This window comes from Homo sapiens, chromosome 5, assembly GCF_000001405.40.
Source record: "Homo sapiens chromosome 5, GRCh38.p14 Primary Assembly".
Lineage (NCBI taxonomy): Eukaryota > Metazoa > Chordata > Mammalia > Primates > Hominidae > Homo > Homo sapiens.
Window position 1 is genome coordinate 62383718 of NC_000005.10, and position 21647 is coordinate 62405364.

A 21647-nucleotide genomic window follows, 5' to 3' on the forward strand; every position below is an offset into this window, starting at 1 on the left:
TTCTAATCTGCAATAATTCACAATCAGCTTCTGTATCCATTTTATTCAGAAGACAGATCCTAATGCACTCTGGTATTTTTTCTTTGTAGCATTCAACTTAATTGACTTCCTTTCCTTTTCTCAAATTTCATGTGTATCAAGCATATCCATAACTTTTAAGAAATTACTATCTAGATATATTGCATTATTCAGTCCTTAGAATTTTTTTAACCACCCAGAGATAAATTTGGGATTTATAAGAAAAATTTGGGCCAGACACCTGTAATCCCAGCACTTTGGGAGGCTGAGGCAGGTAGATCACCCGAGGTCAGGAGTTCAAGGCCAGCCTGGTCAACATTGTGAAATCCTGTCTCTACTAAAAATACAAAAATTAGCCAGGCATGGTGGCACATGCCTGTAGTCCCAGCTACTCAGGAGGCTGAGACAGGAGAATCACTTGAACCCGGGGCAGGGGGCGGAGGGCGGAGGTTGCAGTGAGCCGAGATCACGCCACTGCACTCCAACCTGGGTGACAGAGTGAGACTCCATCTCAAAAAAAACAGAACAGTAACAGTTTGAGAGCACCAAATCTAGAAGTTCTTAAATTCATTTCAAAATTTCAAAAAAGTTAACTTTTTAAACATCACTGTACTTTCAAAAAGGGGAGGAAAATTGAGATTCCAACTTTATTCTGAAGTCTACAGAGTAGGGTTTCGTAACCTTGACACTGTTAACATTTGGGGCTAGGCCTTTCTTTGTTGAGGAGTGTTATCCTGTGCCTTGTACAATATTTACCAGCATCGTTGGTCTCTGTCCACTACATGACAGTAGCACCACACCAGTTGGGATAACCAAAAATGTCTCTAGACATTACCAAATGCCCGCTGGGGGCCAAAAATCATATCCAGTTGAGAGCCACTGTTATTGAAAGATAGCTTATCTTCACAGCTGCATGTAATTTGTCTGACAATTTACTAACCTATTTCTAGTTTTTACATGACTCTAGAGCAGTACATGACCAGAAAATGCGTAAAATCAAGAAATATATCATTTAGTCATCCCCCCTTCACAATCCCCCTTCCTCACAGTGAGGACAAAATGTAAATTTCTAAAAATTCAAATATATTTTACATGTTCATAGCTTTAAAAAGGTAAAATAGGGGGTGCTGAGCACGGTGGCTCATGCCTATAATCCCAGCACTTTGGGAGGCCAAGGCGGGCAGATCACCTGAGGTTGGGAGTTCGAGACCAGCATGGCCAACATGGTAAAACCCCGTATCTACTAAAAATACAAAAATTAGCTGAGCGGGTGGTGCACGCCTGTAATCCCAGCTACTCGGGAAGCTGAGGTGGGAGAATTGCTTGAACCCATGAGGTGGAGGTTGCAGTGAGCCTAGATCGCACCATTGCACTCAAGCTTGGGTGACAGAGTGAGGACTCCATCTCAAAAAAAAAAAGGTAGACTATGTATTTTACAATGTGAAACCTGCCTATACTCTAGGAGGAATTCCAATAAATTAAAACAGAGAACTGTAAATGTGCCAAACAGAACAGAAAGCTATTGAAAGATACAGAAAAACAGGTATTTCTGGAAATCTGTAACAAAAAACTTTCGCAATAGTTGAGCATTCTATTTAGTTCCGAGTTTCTAGACAACAAAGAACAAAAGGAAAAATACTGAGTTACTGTTAGGAAATAACACAGCTGACTTGATTGAACCCATAAAGTTGTAAACTCTTACTGCGTGTAATACAATACTTATTCCCTCTTTCTTTTCTTTTTCCAAGATAAAGTGAAATCTTTCCGTGCAGCTCTACAAGAGGAGGAACAAGCCAGCAAGCAAATCAACCCGAAGAGACCCCGTGCCCTTTAAACCGGCATTTGCTGCTAAAGGATACCCAGAACCCTCACTACTGTAACATACAACGGTTCAGCTGTAAGGGCCATTTGAAAGTTTGGAATTTTAAGTGTCTGTGGAAAATGTTTTGTCCTTCACCTGAATTACATTTCAATTTTGTGAAACACTCTTTTGTCTACAAAATGCTTCTAGTCCAGGAGGCACAACCAAGAACTGGGATTAATGAAGCATTTTGTTTCATTTACACAAATAGTGATTTACTTTTGGAGATCCTTGTCAGTTTTATTTTCTATTTGATGAAGTAAGACTGTGGACTCAATCCAGAGCCAGATAGTAGGGGGAAGCCACAGCATTTCCTTTTAACTCAGTTCAATTTTTGTAGTGAGACTGAGCAGTTTTAAATCCTTTGCGTGCATGCATACCTCATCAGTGATTGTACATACCTTGCCCACTCCTAGAGACAGCTGTGCTCACCTTTTCCTGCTTTGTGCCTTGATTAAGGCTACTGACCCTAAATTTCTGAAGCACAGCCAAGAAAAATTACATTCCTTGTCATTGTAAATTACCTTTGTGTGTACATTTTTACTGTATTTGAGACATTTTTTGTGTGTGACTAGTTAATTTTGCAGGATGTGCCATATCATTGAACGGAACTAAAGTCTGTGACAGTGGATATAGCTGCTGGACCATTCCATCTTATATGTAAAGAAATCTGGAATTATTATTTTAAAACCATATAACATGTGATTATAATTTTTCTTAGCATTTTCTTTGTAAAGAACTACAATATAAACTAGTTGGTGTATAATAAAAAGTAATGAAATTCTGAGAAGAGTTTTATCTTAGGAAAATACATATATATGCAGTGTGTGTGCCAGTGTGGTATTAACAAGACTAATAGTGCAGTTTGATCCTTACCAATATCATTACTTAATTTGAAGTGTTCATTAGCACCCCAAAATATACCTTTTCTATGTACTGTTAAAAGAAATTGGCTTCTGATGCATGAACATTTACATGTACATTGAAAGTAGTCCATAATAGAAGTTAGTTTAAGCCAAGTGTAGACAGTACATTACTCCCTTGAAAAAGAATTAAGTTGAAAGAGTTGACTTTGCCTTAAAAGGCAGATCTAACCCAAGCTCCATCCAGTACCAAATGTGAAACTTCATTGTTGTTTGGTGAGAATCGCCAAATTCTCACTAATACATTGGTATGGTGTAGGGCATGCTACTTTTTAAACAGCAGCACTTATTTTTACAGATTGCTACTCCAAGGAAGAAAACTGGCCACTTTTCATGTAAATATTTTGTTCAAAGATTTGTATATCTCTCTAGGAGTTTTCCCTCAGTTCCCAGGATGGGGTCCAGGAGTAGATTAACAGCTAAAAATCTCCCAAGGATATCTTGTTTTGATTTATTTACTCCAGGGAACTATCAGCTCCTTCACAGGAGCCAAAGGGGAGCTATGAATAGAGGGTCACATGAGCCAGATTCTTTACTGTTCATAAAACCCAGAGAGTAGTTGTGAAAGATCCTAATACAATTGTGAAAAGCTCTGTAAACATGAAATCTAAAACAAATGTAGATTTTCACAATATGCTTATTAATAAATGAAGTCTATGGAATAAGTTTTAGAGATAATTTACTTCAGTCACCTTTGTTTTGGAAAGGACTCAGGTTTTCTTGCAGCTGTAAGATATATTCTATTTGTGTTTATTTCAAAGGGAAGAGGAAGGATGGAGAACTGTTACAATTGACCTTGCAAAGGATATTTAAAAAAAAGGTAGTTTTTGAGATTAACCAACTTTCAAAGGGCAATAAAGACATGTGAATTTGCTCATTTTAAAGCACAACAGATGATTAGCTTCAAATTTATTATTTGCATTGGATGGGTACTGTCTTTGGAAAGTCTCCTTATAGACAAATATGCTGCCTTACACTATGATGGCTTCATTCTGATCAGGTATTTTAAAAATTAGTACCAGAAAAGATACTGGAGGTAATATAATACAGTCCTTCAGCTTTACAGATAGTGAAAACTGAAGGCCAGAAAAGGAACTAAAACTCAGCAGTTCATAGGGGTAGAGGGAAATAACCTGAGAAAGCCGAGTTAAATCTTAAAATTTTTACTATAAGGATAGAGATGATACAAGTGAACTCTGCAAAATAGTTTTGTGAAATTAAACAAAAAAATCTACTCTTAATGTATATTATTTCATATTTGTTTAACAAAAGCAGCTTGATGCCTTTGTTCTGGATTATACATTAAGAACAAGCATTATTTTAATTATGTAGTAACATTTACTATGACTTTGAAGCCAGATTTCAAAATCTGGCTTTGTTAAATTAATTGGAAACACTCTTCTATTAAGTTAGGTATTAAAAAAAGCCAAATATCAATAAAGATATTTTTATTAATTTTTTATAGAAACAAAATAGCTACTATAACTCTATTATAGTATATTAACAGCACTTAGTATTATATTGACTTAAACATAGTAGCTAATAAAACTAGTTTATGACATCTATTGAAATTCTCAGTCTGACAGTTTTAAAATAGCTTAAAACTAAGCACCAGGTATATGAAAAAGGAACTGGAAATTTTAATTGTCCAGAAATCATAGGAATACTGGGAACCTGTAGTTATGGGAAATGGCTGTTTTTCTGAAGTTGAAACCAGTTTCAATTACAAAACCCTCTGAAATTTTGCTAAGCCTATAGTTATCTCCCTAAGAACCATAAAAAAAGATAATTTTATTGTTAATTTCATTCCAGTTTAGCTTCCTCATTTTACATGTTGGGAGTCATGCCCTTTAATATGCCTGGCACTGCACGGTGGCAGTAGCAGACTTGGGCTTACCCAGAACCCTAAGTCTCTGACGCTATAGGATAGCGAAAGAGGTAGGCAATCGTAACAGACACTGTATAGGATAAATAGGGAAGAGAATGAGAGAACCAAAATAAAAATAATTTAAGAAACAATTGTTTTACTGTACATGTGAATAACAAGAAATGGTACGGGGAATGTGAATAACACGAAATGGTATGGGGAATGTGTGACTAGTGAAGCATATTTTAACTTTTTTATTACTGGAGGAACAGAGCTAAAGGCCTAAAGAAGGCCTTACAGTATATAACAGTAAATAGAAGAGTAACATCTTTATACAATAAACTGTTAGAAATGATAAGTGTAAAGTTGTGCGTCTCTGCGGCTCCTGAACTTGAAGATTATTATGAATAGATTGGACCAGCATTATATATTAAAAACTTTGATACTTAGAACTTTCCAACTTTAAAATTCAGAATCATAAATGGTGACAACAGTAGTAGTATTGAACCAAAAATAGTCAAGTAAATAATGTCTCAGTAAAGCAAAAGCATTATCTTCTCAAATACAAAAAATACAAAATTCATTTCTTTTCTTGACCTTGAAAATTTCTGTTTTCCAAATACCTAGGAAAAATGAATACCTTCTGCGTTGAATCCATGTAGCAATCTGAAAAAAGAAATCAAAATGGAATGGTACTGAAAAGCTAATTTGTAGCACATAACGGTATATAGTTCTATACCATTAATACTAAAACATGAATACAGCATGCTTACAGAGCCCACCCACTCCTAATACTAGTTATTAAAGAAACGTTACTGGCTGGGCGCAGTGGCTTATGCCTGTAATCCCAGCACTTTGGGAGGCTGAGGCGGGTGGATTACCTGAGGTCAGTAGTTCGAGAACAGTCTGGCCAACATGGTGAAACCCCGTCTCTACTAAAAATACAAAAATTAGCCTGGCATGGTGGCACATGCCTGTAATCCCAGCTACTCGGGTGGTTGAGGCAGGAGATTTGCCTGAACCCAGGAGGCGGAGGTTGCAGTGAGCTGAGATTGTGCCACTGGAGTCCAGCCTGGGTGACAGAGCAAGACTCTGTCTCAAAAAAAAAAAAAAAAGAAATGTTATTGTCTGACTAAATTTATAAGATATGTATTGGTTAAAACCATGCCATGTTGGTGCCTCTTTCATTAGAGCCTTTATGTCGTAATGAATTTGACTAAAATTATCTTAGACTTTCATTATCCCAGGCCTAAGAACTCACTGGCATTTGTTTCAAGGTAACTGAACAAGAAGCTGTTTGGAATTGGCAGAAGTCAGATGAAAAACCAATCTTACATGCCCCTTCTTCCTCTCTTGAGCTGTTGTTTATATTCAAATTAAATACACATTGTTTCTCTCTGTAGATACCTATGTACTTAATAGATTCTAGTTAGTAAACTGCACATGCCCAATAACTTTGAGGAAATTTAGTGAAAATGAAGAAAAAGAGAAAATATTTCTCTTTAGACCTGAGGTTATGTTTAGGCTGGCCCATAGAAACAGGTCCAGATAAATTTCTAAAAAAGCAAAGTAGATATTTATGAATAGTATTCAATGCCTAGGATTAACATCTAAAATGACTCAGTAGTACTGCTAGCCAGCCAATAAAATATAAACTCCATTTGTCTTAGTTATATAGAACTGTGTTTCCAGCTTAGAAAAAGTCAAACCAATGACTTTTAGAACAATCTACTCTCATTTTTTATTCAGCCTCTAGAACATGGAAGCTTTAAAAGTGAATTGGCTAAATAGGCAAGACCTTCTGAAAGTTAACATCTTAATGATTAAAAACAGTAAGTACAGGTTAGTAATTACCTGGGTAATTAATTGAAGCCTTATTCTGTTTTCATAAGACTTACTTGCTTAATTCAAGCAAAACAAATTTTGGTCTAAATTACCTAGATAATTATGACAGCTTTTTACTTGAGAAGTGTAGAACTTGCTTCAGGCTACAAAACTGTATTATTCCTAAATGGATAACCAGGTAGGATTCTAACTGGCATTATTGTATGCTTAAGATTGATTTAACAACAGCTATTCCCAGTAAGGAAATTTTAAAAATCAGATCCAGTTACATGTATTATGATTTTTCTACCTTATGGACTATTTTGGAGGGATAAGCTATTAAGACTAAGACTATGAATGAGAGTTGGGGAAGGAGCAGGAAGGGAGGAACCTGCACACCACATTGGAACCTGCACACCACATTAACACAAAGGCAATCTTCTGGCTCGGACTGTTCTTTACTACTGTTCTTAAAGAAAATGTTCATTCTGCTGCAGCTAACTAGCCTCCATCTTCTACACCAAATACTATTCCATGCCATGGAAGTGCTATGCAATAACTCTCCCAGGTAGCACCTTATACCGCTTAAAAGCCTTTAAAATCTCCAATCTGAAGGTGTCACAGTAAAGAAATGTAAACACTTAGGAAAACAAAAATGTAATTACCTGATGAAGTCATCTATGTCCATGGAACGGGCCCGTTTGTCACTAAAACCTGTGCTGGTTAGGATTTGCTGTATTTTATCTGCTATGCTGAAATCTTCTGGTATTATCTATCAATATAAGATTCAGAATAAATGAACGACATATCTTTAATGAGGTCACCTTGACTCTTTTTTTTAGTTCAGTAAGTCATAAAATAGTCACCTTTAATATATCTGTTAATGAGACTTTGGAAAGCCTGATTTTTACATTAAGACTTGGATCTCTAATTAAAAGTGGCTGATCTTTATTAACAAAAACTTGGAATACCTTGAATTAGTAATCCTGTCTATATTAGCCATTTTCTTCTTTAAAATTCTGAAATAGTTATTAGTTTCAGACTTCACAAATAATTACAACTGTAAATTAAATTTTAAAGCAATTGTTACTCCTTTCAAAATAATGCATTTTCTTCCTACAGATTTGACCTTAACCACCTCATTTTTCTCAAAGAGGTGACCTGCCCAAGCCTTGGGAATATTAAGGATTTTACACTTAATTCACATATTTTATCCAAAAGGATTTTACACTTAATTCACATATTTTATCCAAATATTTTTCTTAATCTAGCTTAATATTTTTCTATTATACTTAGGCAGATTATCTAATGACTTTTTGCCCATAAAAGAGAAAATGGAGATAGTATTGTGATACATTAAACCATATAGGTTCTGAGTCATAAAAAATAAAAAGAAAATTGGCCTTTCTCTCTCTGTTCTAATTAAACTGGAAGCTAAAAAGATAGCAAACATCACATCGCACACACTGTTACACAAATGATACGCATGAGGCTCACAACCAGAAATCTGCTATTGAGCCATATGAACTTTATTTCAATTTCTATACAAAGAAAGTAATAACTATATTTGTAACTGCTATGTGAGCAAGAAACAAGACGTGGTCACAATTCAGAGGACAGTAAACTACACAATTATTTTAAGTTGTGCAAGCTACACATATCTACAGCTTTGAGGAACCTGTAACTGCTGAATCTGATTCTTGTTATGGCTAAAAACAACTGTCAGTAGTTAGAGGACAGGGTGGAGTAATCAAAGTTGCTCATATCTGTTTCACAGGATACACAGCAGCACTGACCTGTCAGAATTCAAGTCAAAATTGTGCTAGTTATACATTATATATTGTCTTTTAAGGATCTTATGGAATGTACAAAATAATCTCATGCTAGATCAACAAGAATAAAAATGGACATTTTAAAAGAAAACAAATCAATGAAACTGCAGGAACATTTTCTAACTTACAATATTATGGACTGAACAGTGAATTCTGTAGTTTTTTTCCAAGAGTTGTTGCACTGCACTTGATCTATAGCATAAAGAAGTGATGCCACTGTTATTATTCCAAAGTCAGAGTAATTTCTTACTTTTTTAAACTTTTTTTTAACTAATACATAAGCCATTTAAGCAATAATTTCATTTTAGATGAAATTAAATCTATATTCTGTATGGTGAAATTAAGGAATTTTAAAAGTTGTTGAATATTTAAACTTATGAAGCAAACACTAAATATATTTAAAGTGCAAAATCCTAATACCTCTTAAATTCTTAGAGAAGTTCTAGACTCTCCACAAAAAATCCCCTAAAAAAAAATCTCCAAGCCCTGTAAAACTGTGTCTCACCTCTCTTTTACCCTTGAACCCCAAATTGATGAGCTGCATTTTCCCAGGTTAATTACATGACACATATCCTTCACAAGTGTGGAAGGGGTCCATCATCACCTCATTTTTCCAACAAAAAACTAGAGCAGATATATGGTCAGAGTTTGGGAGTGTTTTCCTGTTTTGCCAAAAAATGTGATCTGACTCTCAACTCCAGCAAACTTTCTTCATTAAGTTTGCTTTAGAGCCTCCCAAGCTCTAAAGATAGTTTAAAAGGTGAAGTTTGTCTGGACCCATAATCTTTATGCTTTAGGGTAGCTGCTCAGGAAAAGGACCAAATTCTAGCATAGTATCTGGAGCACTGGCCCTTTATACATTAGAAATTAGTGTAATACTTACTTAAATGCAGCAGAGAGTGTCTTGTTTTTCCTAACAAAGGTTATCCTTACTAGACCATCCCATTCCTGAAATAGAAGATAGACATTTTCTTCAAATTACAAACTTCTTGTTCTTGTCTATGCCCACTAGGTATTATTTTGTCTTTTAATATATACAATTGAAGGAAACTTTCTGAAGTGAAGAAAATGTTCTGTAATCTTGATCTGGCTGGCACACACATGCAAAAGTAAGACATACATTTGATTTTTGCACTTTGGCGCATTTCACTGAATATGTCTTTTCCTCAGAATTTTTTTTTGACAAAGCATGACAATTTTTTTTTTTAATTTGAAAAAATAAAGCCAGGCACAGTGCTGCATGCCTGTAGTACCAGCTACTCAGGAGGCTGAGGTGGGAGGATCGCTTGAGACCAAAAGTTCAAGTCCAGCCTAGGCAACATAGTGAAACCCCATCTTAAAAAAAGAAAGGGAAGGAAAAACAAAATGGTCCCACATCTGAACAAAGAACATGGCGTTTATTTAAATCTAAGTATCATTTTCAAAAATAAGATTCAAAACAGACATGACTTCAGATACTTCCTGTGTAACACACCTAAACCTCCTTGAAGGAGTTATTGACAAACCACTCCATTTACCACCAGTTGACCACACACACAATCACGTTTTTCTCTAATGTGGCTGTAGTAAGGTTTTATATCAAGTGGTCTTCTTTCTTGTTTTTAAATCTCAAAAAACAATTACAATGAAAAGATGTTACCCATAATACTACTTTAAAACAACTATTTTCATTTTACCTTGTTTTCCTAGTTTTATTCCATTTTTTCTTTTTTTTTTTTGAGACTGGGTCTCACTTCAAAACTACCTTGCATCAAATTATTCCATCTACTTCAGCACAGGGATGTGTCCTAATTAACATTTTCCTATGTTTGAATATTTAGGTTGATTCAATATTTTTCTGCTGTTATAGGCACACATCTTCCCGCCTGGACTTTTTTTTCCTTTATTGAATGAGCTAGTATTTTAACCTCACCTGAAAATTGATGGGTGGTGGTGGATTCTTAGGTTCTATCCTTACAACACTGGATTCCACCTTGGGCGGTGGTCTGAAGTTATTCTTTCCCACCTGTTAATGAAAAAGTATTTAAGTAGTACTCACAAAGGCAACTTTTATTTAGTAACCAGATATGCTATCCTCACAGAAGGCACAACTGGATGCTCAAGGATGAATTAAGCTAGATTATTTCAATAATAAAAATCACTGGCTGGGTGCTTTGGCTCACACCTGTAATCCCAACACTTTGGGAGGCCAAGGCAGATGGATCATTGAGCCCAGGAGTTCAAGACCAACCTGGGCAACATAGCAAAACTCTGTGTCTACAAAAAATACCAAAAAATTAGTCAGGCGTGGTGACGCACACCTCTAGTCCCAGCTACTCGGGACTCGAGAAGATTGCTTGAGTATGGGAGGCAGAGATCGCAGTGAGCCACTGCACTGCAGCCTGGGTGACAGAGTGAGATTCTATCTCAGAAAAAAGAGAAAGAAAACAAAATTCACTTACTTTCATTAGATGGTCCACACGTGCCAACAGCTGTGTATTAATTGAGAGTCTGCAGTATAACTTATCTCCAGGTTTTGCAACCAGTCGGAGGGCAAATTCTCTTTGAAACATAAGTATAGCACACCTGAAAAGAAAGCAGAAAGGAATAAGGAAAATGGTCATTGTCAACTATAAATGAATTTTAACTGCAATGAATTTTCTTGGGAGAGAAATAGCAAAGCATTGGCAGCTGATTATAAGGTAGGAGAACACATTCAGCCTTTTTTTTATTGCCACAGAATGAGAGAGCTGGCTTTGTTTTTATAATTGCTGTACTCCTCATGGCAAGATAGCTTGCAAATATAAGCCTTTAATGACTGGATGAGATGTTTCAAATCAGCACTAGTCCATCACCTCTTCTATGAAAACAAAGTGAAATAAAATTGTTTCAGTAGCAGTAATATATTTATGGGGTAGCAAACACCTTTAAGGAAGAGGTGAGACTGAAGAGGCAGATTGTGACGTTCAATGTTTCCTTGATTTGACGGGTTAAAAGATGTAGACTTTTTTTTTTTTTTTGAGACGGAGTTTCGCTCTTGTCGCCCAGGCTGGAGTGCAATGGCGCAATCTCGGCTCACTACAACTTCCGTCTCCCAGGTTCAAGTGATCCTCGTTCCTCAGCCTCCCGAGTAGCTGGGATTACAGGCGCACACTACCACCCCTGGCCAATTTTTCTATTTTTAGTAGAGACAGTGTTTCACCATGTTGGCCAGGCTGGTCTGGAACTCCTGACCTCAGGTGATCCGCCCACCTCAGCCTCCCAAAGTGCTGGGATTACAGGCATGAGTCACCACACCCAGCCAAAAGATGTAGACTTTTTATTCAGCAGGCAATGGGGAAGACTTTGTAGGGGTTAACGAACAGAAGAGTATCTTCAAAGCTACACTTTGACATTCAAACTTTTGACAATGAGTCACACTAAAAATACATTTGGCATTGCAAGCCAAGCCACAAATGTCTGTATGTATATGTGTTTATATTGTATTTCAAAACAAAAGTTTCATGAAACCATAATCACCTGGACTACATGCAATGCCCTGTGATATATTCTATTCCATGTGATTACAAAAAAAAAGAATGGTCATGACTCATTAATTTTATAACCACTAGTTTTTGACTTGCAGTTTGAAAGCCACTAGTATATAATATAGAAAGTGACTTCAAAGTTCATGGAAATATTGAATTAAAAGATAAAATAAGGCTGGTGTGGCGGCACACACCTATAATCCACAGCACTTTAGGAGGCCAAGGCGGACAGATCGCTTGAGCTCAGGAGTTCAAGACCAGCCTGGGCTGAACATGGTGAGACCCCTTCTCTAAAAAAAACACAAAAATTAGCTAGGCATGCTGGTACACCCCCATAGTCCCAGCTACTCAAGAGGCTGAGGTAGGAGAATCATCTGAGCCCAGCCCAGGGAGGCTGAGGTTGCAGTGACCTGAGATGTCACCACTGTACTCCAGCCTGTCTCAGAAAAAGAAAAAAAAGAAAAAACATAAACTTTATTATTCAACATAAGCTCCATCAAGTTCAAGACACTTTTGTAAGTGATGATACCAGCATTTTAGTCTATATCAAAAAAACTGAGGCTCTGGGGAATTTAGCCATGTCACTGCAGGTTTTTTTTTTTTACATTATTAACTGAAGAAAAAAGAGTGCCCTTTCAAGATTTTTTAAGACTGGGAAACGAAAATAAATCAGAAGGGCTGGGCACCATGGTTCATGCCTGTAATAATCCCAGCATTTGGGGAGGCTGAGGTGGGCAGATCACTTGAGCTCAGGAGGGGGAGACAGCCTGGGCAACATGGCAAGACCCATCTCTAAAAAAAATACAACAATTAGCTGGGTGTGGTGGCACATGCCCGTAATCGCAGCTACTTGGGAGGCTGAGGTGGGAGGAATGCTTGAGCCCAGGAAGTGGAGGCTGCAGTGAGTGCAGATCATACCACTGCTCTCCAGCCCGGGCACCAGAGCAAGACTGTCTCATAAAATAAAAAGAAGTCAGAAGGGGCCCAATCAGGACTGTAAGGTGGATACCTAACCATTTCCCATTGAAACTCTCGAAAAATTGCCCTCGTCTGATGAGAGGAAGGAGTAGAAGTATTATGGTGGAGGAATCTCTGGGGAAGCTTTCCCAGGAGTTACTCTGCTACATCTTAGCTAACTTTCTCAAAACACTCTTGTAATAAGCAGATGTTTTCATTCTTTGGTCCTAAAGAAAGTCAGCAAGCAAAATGCCCTGAGCATTCAAAAAAAAACTGTTGCTATGACCTTTGCTCTTGACTGGTCTGCTTTTGCTTTGACTGGAGCCACTCCGTTTCTTGGTAGGCATCACTTTCACTCTGCTTTGTCTTTAGGATCACACTGGTAAAGCCATATTTCATCTCCATTACAATTCTTTGTAATTCTTTGAAGAAATGTTTCAGGATCTTGTTTTCTTTTTTGACAATCTCGCTCTGTTGCCCAGGCTGGAGTGTGGAGTGCAGTGGCACAATCTTGGCTCACTACAACCTCCGCCTCCTGAGTTCAAGCGATTCCCCTGCCTCAGCCTCCCGAGTAGCTGGGATTATAGGTGCCCACCACAATGCCCAGCTAATTTTTTTATTTTTAGTAGAGATGGGGTTTCACCATGTTAGCCAGGCTGGTCTCCTGACCTCAAGTGATCTGCCCGCCTCGGCCTCCCAGAGTGCTAGGATTATAGGTGTGAGCCACTCCACCCAGCCATGTTTCAGGATCTTGATCCCAGTTATGTAAAATTTCCACTGGAAGCTCTGCTTTTATCTGCAGCTGATTTGAGTACAATGTTTTTTGTTTTGTTTTTTCATAAAATCTTTCAGAAAAGAGGGTATGACAGTTTTGGCATCTATCAAGTACAAAGTTTGTTTAACTTTGATTTTGCAGTCAGAATTGTGTAAGCTAAACCAACTGTGATGTCTATGGTGTTGGCTATTGTTTGTGCTGTTGAATGTTGTTCCTCGTCACTTAGGGAACAAACAAGATGAATGTTTTCCCACAAATTGATATGGCCAGTGTGCCACTGTAGGCTTCATCTTCAACATTGTCTCAGCCCTTCTTAAAATGAGTTATCCATTAGTAAACTGCTGATTTCTTTGGGATATTGTCCCCATAAACTTTTTTTTTTTTTTGAGACGGAGTCTCGCTCAGTCGCCAAGGCTGGAGTGCAGTGGCGCGATCTCGGCTCACTGCAAGCTCCGCCTCCCGGGTTCACGCCATTCTCCTGCCTCAGCCTCCCGAGTGGCTGGGACTACAGGCGCCCGCCACTACGCCCGGCTAGTTTTTTGTATTTTTAGTAGATGTGGGGTTTCACCATGTTAGCCAGGATGGTCTCGATCTCCTGACCTCATGATCCGCCTGCCTTGGCCTCCCAAAGTGCTGGGATTACAGGTGTGACTCCATAAACTTTTTGTAAAGCATCAATGATTTCACCATTCTTCCAACCAGGTTTCACCATAAATTGGATGTTTGTTCTTACTTGAATTTTAGCAGAGTTCATGTTGCTCTGATAGGGGCTCTTTTCAAACTGATGTCTTATCCTTCTCAGTGCCTCACACTAGATCCTGCTCAGTTAGTACAGAGTTTATTTTGGTGCAAAAAAATTTTGAAATCCATGCAAGTTTTTTTCATAATACACATTTTCCATGAACTTTTTGAAGACCTCTTATACTAGAGACCAGTTAGGAAACCACTGCAATTGTCTAGACATAAGGTAATAAAAATTCTAACCTAGACTTAACGGCAGGAAGATTCAAAAATAGGGAAAGGCTGTCTGGTCTCAGAAGCAGGACTTCCAGCACACTACCCCCAAATAACCTCTCAATTAAAGAGAGAAAGACCTCCATACAAATCAACATTTTCTACAAAAATTCTTCAGTAGTTTTTCAACTGACCTGACTCATTTTTGGCTATGTTCACCACCTGAACTGTAAGTCTTTCAAAATTTGGCAGTAACTCTAGTCTTTTGTCACAAACCTGAAAAAAGGTCGATGTAGCAACAGCTTGAAGACAAAAGGTGAAGAGATCTGTAAGAGAATTAACTAGTTATTTCCGGGAAAGACACATCAGAGGAACAGTTAGTATGATGTTCCTGAAAATGTGAGGACATACCTGATAAGGCAAATTTGCCACACAAGTATCAAAGAATGGCAAATCTGTTTTCAGCACATCACCCACCAGTACTTGAAGTTTGCTGGCCACAGGCCTGATGAGAAAAGAAGAAATGTAAAAAGAATGTTGTTTCATGAGATTGAAATGCACTTTAATTCTATTATGTATACTCACGTGCCCTGAACTCTTTTGTGAAGTTCAGCTACTAGCCTTGGGTCAAGTTCACAAGCAACAACCTAATTTAAAAAAAATAAAAATTATTTAGGTTAATTATGGAATATAAATCTTTTATTGTTATCCCAACAGGAACTCTTACATGATTTATGTGACAAACTTCTTCTCCCATTTCTACCATCAATATTCCTTTAATTATACTCGCATACTTCAAACAACAAACAAAAATGGGCCGGGTGCAGTGGCTCACGCCTGTAATCCCAGCACTTTGGAAGGCTGGGGTGGGCGAATCATGAGGTCAGGAGTTAAAGGCCAGCCTGGCCAACATGGTGAAACCCCATCTCTACTAAAAATACAAAATATTAGGCCAGGTGCAGTGGCTCACGCCTGTAATCCCAACACTTTGGGAGGCTGAGACAGGCAGATCACCTGAGGTCAGGAGTTCGAAACCAGCCTGGCCAACATGGCGAAACCCCGTCTCTACTAAAAATACAAATTTAGCTGGGTACAGTGATGGGCATCTGTAATCCCAGCTACTCGGGAGGCTGAGGCAGGAGAATTGCTTGAAACTGGGAGGCAGAGGTTGCAGTGAGTCGAGATCGCACCATTGCACTCCAGCTTGGGCAAGAGACAGAGACTCTTGTCTCAAAACAAAAACAAAAACAACACAAAATATTAGCTGGGCCTAGTGGTGGGCGCCTGTAATCCCAGCTACTCAGGAGGCTGAGGCAGGAGAATTGCTTGAACCCTGGAGGCGGAGGTTGCCATGAGCCAAGACTGTGCCACTGCATTCCAGCCTGGGTGACAAAGTGAGACTCCATCTCAAAAAAAAAAAAAAGCCGGGTGTGAGGCTGAGGTGGGCGGATCATGAGTTCAGGAGACTGAGACCAGCCTGGCCAACATGGTAAAACTCTGTCTCTACTAACAAATTCAAAAATTATCTGGGCGTGGCGGCACGTGCCTGTAATCCCAGCTACTCAGGAGGCTGAAGCAGGAGAATTGTTTGAACCAGGGAGTCAGAGGTTGCAGTGAGCCGAGATCGCGCCACAGCACTCCAGCCTGGCAACAGAGCGAGACTCCATCTCAAAAACAAACAAACAAACAAACAAACACCACCACCCAGAAAAGTAGACAACCAGATTATGTGAGAGTTCTACTCATATAATCAATAGAATCATGTTTCATCTGTCTCCATGCTTTGTAATTCAACAGATGATGAAAAAAATACACTACATGTCTCTGCAGTCAGTGTTGTTAGAGAAGAGCGTACAATGCAATTGCTCTTACTGTTAGTATGTCACATCTACTGAGATACACAATACATGGCATAGATAACTTCTCAAGTAAATGAAAATGGATGTCAAATAAGGCCGAAATTGAAATTTTATTGCAATTTCAGCTGAGGTTTCACTGACTTTATTTTTATTAAAAAATAATTTTTTTTAAGAGATGGGGTCTCACTCTGTTGCCCAGGCTGGAGTGAAGTGGCGCTATCATAGCTCACTGCTGCCTCGAAGTCTTGGGCTCATGGGATCCTCCCACCTCACCTTCCTGTGCAGCTGGGACCACAGGTGTGTACCAGCACACCAGGCTAATTTCCTTTCTTTATTTTTAATAGAGACGGGTCTCTCTATGTTGCCCGGGCTGGTCTCAAAACTCCTGGGCTCAAACAATCCTCCCACCTTGGCCTCCCAAAGTGCTGGGATTATAGGCGGGAGGCACCATGCCCAGCCTTTTTATTTTTTATAGAGATTGGGTCTCGCTTTGTTGCCCAGGCTGGTCTCAAGCTCATAGCTTTAAGCAATCTTCCTGCCTCAGCCTCCCAAAGTGCTGGGATTACAGATGTGGGCCACAGCTCCTGGCCCTACTTCTATATAGACCCTGTTTACATGGTAAACAATGTGTTTCTTACTCTGTTTGGCTCCCAGATCTATCTTTAGTTTTATTTTTATTTTTTGAGACAGGGTCTCACTGTGTCACCCAGGCTGTAGTGAAGTGGCAGGATCATGGCTCACTGGAGCCTCAACTTCCCAGGCTCAGGTAAACCTCCCACCTCAGCCTCCCTGCTAGCCAGGGCTACAGTCAGGCACCACCATGCCCAGCCAATTTTTTGTAGAGATGGGGTTTCACCATGTTGCCCAGGCTGGTCTTCAACTCCTAGGCTCAAGCCATCCACCCGCCTTAGCCTCCCAAAGTGCTGGGATTACAGGTGTGAGCCACCATGAAAGGCCCTCCCAGATCTATTATCCGCTTTTCTCTGCATCCTACAGATAATGCAGTTCAGCTCCCTTACCTTTCAACTTCTGGTTGGAATTGGCCAGTGAAAGGCACCAGCATTATAGGGTACAAAGGGGAGGCGTTGGGTATTTCCTTCCTAATTAAACTCCCTGTTGAGGCTGGGCATGGTGGTTCATGCCTGTAATCCCAGCACTTTGGGAAGCCAAAGTTGGCGGATCACCTGAGGTCAGGAGTTTAAGACCAGTGTGGCCAACATGGTGAAACCGCATCTCTACTAAAAATACAAAAATTAGCTGGTGTGGGGGCAGGTGCCTATAATCTCAGCTACTGGGGAGGCTGAGGCAGGAGAATCTCTTGAACCCAGGAGGCAGAGGTTGCTGTGAGCCAGGACTGCATCTCTGCACTCCAGCCTGGGGAACAGTGTGAAATTCCCTCTCCAAAAAAAAAAAAAAAAAAAAAAAATTCCCTGTTGAAATACCTAATGTGGTTTCTGTTTTCCTCACTGAAATATCTCATATTTTCCTTTTTTTTTTTTTTTTTTTTTGAGACAGAGTCTCACTCTGTCACCAGGCTGGAGTGCAGTGGTGCAATCCTGGCTCACTGCAACCTCTGCCTTCCGGGTTCAAGTGATTCTCCTGCCCCAGCCTCCCAAGTAGCTGGGACTACAGGCACCTGCCACCACACTCGGCTAATTTTTGTATTTTTAGTTGAGATGGGGTTTCACCATATTGCCCAGGATGGTCTCAATCTCTTGACCTCATGATCCACCTGCCTCGGCCTCCCAAAGTGCTGGGATTACAGGCGTGAGCCACCGCGCCTGGCTGAAATATCTCATATTTTCTAAGACAAAATTTCCAACAAGGGATCAGGAGTTACTACTAAAATAATAGCAATTAGTTAAAACATATTTAGATTGTAAACCAACTGAGCTTGCTAACATAGTCATTTGTGATACCAAACATTAAATCCCCTTTCTACCTTTTTTGCCTTTTCTAACAACTTTACAGTCATGTTGCCAGTTCCAGGTCCAACTTCCAGCACTACATCAGTTGGTCTTAAGGCAGCCTAAAAGCAAGCACAAACACTTTAGCTCTTCTGGCAACATCAGAACACAGAAGTTAATTTACACCTGAACATCTTTACTCATATGTGCTCCGATAAGAGCTCTTAATCTGACTCCATTTTTAGATTTCTTCATGATCTACGTGGTTAACAAAATTACCTCAATAACATTTGGTGCAAATGAAAATCTAAGACCTCTCCTAACTTGGAGGAATACTGTTCAACTTTAGGAGTCAGAAAAGCAGCAACAGCATTTCTGGGATTGGCATTCTGCTTTCTATCTGGAAATATTCCAATAGCCTCTTGTTACCTTCTCTGTTCGTATCAACAAGTTCAAATGGGAAAGGACTGTACGTGTTGGGCGAAGATTTTTCAATTTTCAACCCATGTATGGTTTCAAGGATGCAGAAGAGCAGAAACTGTACACAAAATTGAATGTCTGCACACAGCTCTAATATTCTACGGCCATAGCTTTCATCAGATGCTCAAAGGAAACTATGAGCTAAAAAGGTTAAAATAGTACATGACCCTTCTTTCTTTTTTTCTCAGTTTTCAAATGACACGAAGCCTGACAAGATCCTTTAACTATGTAATGCTCTTTCTACAGCTCCAGGATGCTTTCCTTGCTTTTAACCATAAGTGTAATCTGCACCGTGTGTATTTCACTTCCTAACACCCAATCATCCATAACCATAAGAGAACATCAATAACTCAGAAAGCAGTAATACTCCAAGCAATTTATATGTGGTACTAGCATACACCAAATAATTTATATGTAGTACTATATGTTTTTCTGGGGAACAAACTTTCTAATGTGTAGTTTAGACATAAATAGATGGAGTACATAAAAACTAAGTGATCAAAAAGGTGATTAGAAATAGAAGAATAATTATCTTGAACAAATACAAAGGTCCAGCTATAAAGTAGATAATCCACAAAAAGACACAGAATTGGGAACCAGGAGAAACTCAGACCCACAAAATGAAGCTTATCATGCAGAAGACAGCCCAAGAATCCTAGACAATTATTTGATTCATTCAACAAATATTTACAGAGCATCTAATTTACGGCAGGCAGACTTTCTGCGCTTATGTATTCATAGGAATAAAATTAATAAACCAACAACTCTCTCCCTTTCCTCTTCCACACCCACCTTATCGATAATGCTGTTAATAATGAGAGGATTTTTCAAAATGTGCTGCCCAATCCCCGTGTTGAACATGAGTCCTGTAAGAAAATACGAAACAGCATTAATTTTCCTACTGAGATTAGATATTAGGCAGTACCAGAGAAGAAAGCTGCATGGGTATGGGGAAGATTTCTGCGCCAACCAGGGCCACGAAACGTCACGCCAGGACTGACAAACTCTTTATAAGTTCATCCTCCAGCTGGAAAGGAAGTCAGCGGCGACGCGCAGGGCCTGCGGCCGAGTCGGGGACCCACCCCTGCCTTCCGCGCTCACGGGAGCGCGTCCTGACCGGCCTCTGCCGATCAGGTCTTGGTCCGCACCCCAGGCTAGGTCCTGCCGGAAGACCTGACCCGACCGACCCCAGCTTCCTCGCGGGGATCCGCACCTCCAGCGCTCTTCAGCTCCCGGCGCTGCTCCTGCCGCCCGCGGCGGCGGCCGATGGCCCCCGACTTGACCTTCGGCATCTCGGCAGAAAGCGGGCCCACAGGCCCGGGACGTCAAGGAGGACCAAAGAGGGCTAGCGTGAGAAAGCCACCACGTGGGGATCGCCGCCACGCGCCGCCCGCACCACTCTGGCCCAAGCGCCGGAGGGGCAAGGGTCCGCCCCCTCCCGTACGCTCTGAGCTCCTCCTCCAGAAAAAGGGCGGACCTTGGAGCCCACTGACTGCCGGGAATTGGAGTCACAGAGGGAGGAAGGCCGAACCGCGGGAGCCTACAGATCCCAGAAGACACCGCGCTACCGAGGACTGCAGTCTGGAGTTGGAGCCCTTGTCCCAACCAGGGCTGGATAAGAAGGTGTTGGTGTGGTGCTCTCGGTGTTGCGAAGGCTGTTTAAGTTATATGATGAGGTTAAGCCTATGGATGTTTTAGTAGCCTAGGTTCTGGGATCGCTGAGGTCCAAAGAAGTATTCACGTGCCTCGCTCCTGTTTTCCTGAAGCTTGTGGGGGTGGGAAACCCGGGATTTGGGGATGAGCTTGCTCTTTTGTGGGAATGCATTTTTTGCTGCTTGCCCTGGGGAAAAGAACTGCGAGAATGGAATTAACGTCTGGTTTCGCTAGGGCTACTGGTTGCTTCTACTAAGAATAGAAGAGCCGGGCGCGGAGGCTCACGCCTGTAATCCCAGCACTCTGGGAGGCAGAGGCGGGCGGATCACAAGGTCAGGAGATCGAGACCATCCTGGCTAACACGGGGAAACCCCGTCTCTACTAAAAATACAAAAAATTAGCCGGGCGTGGTGGTGGGCGCCTGTAGTCTCAGCTACTTGGGAGACTGAGGCAGGAGAGTGGCGTGAACCCAGGAGGCGGAGGTTGCAGTGAGCCGAGATCGCGCTACTGCACTCCAGCCTGGGCGGCAGAGCGAGACTCCGTCTCAAAAAAAAAAAAAAAAAAAAAGGAATAGAAGAATAATTATCTTAAACAGATACAAAGCTCCAGCTACAAAGTAGATAATCCACAAAAAGACAGAATTGAGAACCAGGAGAAACTCAGACCCACAGAATGAAGCTTATCGTGCAGAAGACAGCCCGTGAATCCTAGAAAATTATTTGATTCATTTAACAAATAATTCAACAAATTCCTTTTGTGCCTCATCATTCACTCCGTAAACATTTATTGAGCTCCAACTGTGTATCAAACACTGCTAGGGATTCTAAGTAAGAAACTTATTTCAAAGTGTATTATATTGACAGAGATGGACAGAAACTCCAAAACGCTGTAAATACGATAACGTATTGGTCGTTGTGACAGGACAGTGTACCTGACTATAAACTCCGTGTGTACCAGGGCCATAATATCCACATCTGTTTTGCCAGCCAGTGTAATGGCTCTTTTAAATTTTTCTGTGTGTATTCTGTTTGGTTGAAGAAATAGCTTCTTCCTGTCATTACTAAAGCTAACTCTCTTTTGAGCAATTCATTGTGTACATTCCCAAACCTTGGTCTTAGGCCCTTCTTTCTTTGATGTAGTTCTAAGTCAGAAAAAAAATCTCGTATACCCTAGTAGCATCTTCAAGTATATGTTTCATTTCATCAATCATTGTTATTCCACAATTCTAAAG

General features: G+C 40.1%; 2 protein-coding genes across 7 annotated transcripts in view, besides 1 other annotated feature; one reads left to right on the forward strand and one right to left on the reverse strand.

The window, feature by feature from the left end:
- KIF2A (kinesin family member 2A) overlaps positions 1–7308 on the forward strand; it is an 84820-nt gene extending 77512 nt beyond the window's left edge. For all 4 annotated transcript variants that reach the window (NM_001243952.2, NM_001098511.3, NM_004520.5 and 1 more), the window contains one exon: positions 1767–7308. In NM_001243952.2, coding sequence (NP_001230881.2) covers positions 1767–1852 — 86 coding nt within the window. In that variant the 3' untranslated portion in view covers positions 1853–7308. The remainder of the gene's footprint in view (positions 1–1766) is intronic.
- Positions 3537–20188, reverse strand: DIMT1 (DIM1 rRNA methyltransferase and ribosome maturation factor). 3 transcript variants are annotated; one of them, NM_014473.4, is made up of 12 exons: positions 19977–20188; positions 19556–19629; positions 18319–18405; positions 15103–15164; positions 14929–15022; positions 14794–14843; positions 10767–10890; positions 10238–10330; positions 9209–9273; positions 8454–8517; positions 7159–7265; positions 3537–5335 (listed from the first exon to the last, which is right to left on the reverse strand). In NM_014473.4, exons 1-12 carry the CDS (start codon positions 20053–20055, stop codon positions 5293–5295), a joined length of 942 nt encoding a protein of 313 aa, NP_055288.1. In that variant the 5' UTR covers positions 20056–20188; the 3' UTR covers positions 3537–5292. The 3 variants fall into 3 exon arrangements, with proteins under 3 accessions (NP_055288.1, NP_001335006.1, NP_001335005.1); NM_001348077.2 differs by having other exon boundaries at positions 14712–14843; NM_001348076.2 differs by lacking the exons at positions 3537–5335; positions 7159–7265 and adding an exon at positions 8002–8289.
- Positions 20109–20398: an enhancer, noted in NCBI's record as "active region_22596". NCBI's record gives its function as "activates an Ori minimal core promoter by ATAC-STARR-seq in GM12878 lymphoblastoid cells {active_cell/tissue: GM12878}" and the evidence as "EXISTENCE:reporter gene assay evidence [ECO:0000049][PMID:35858748]".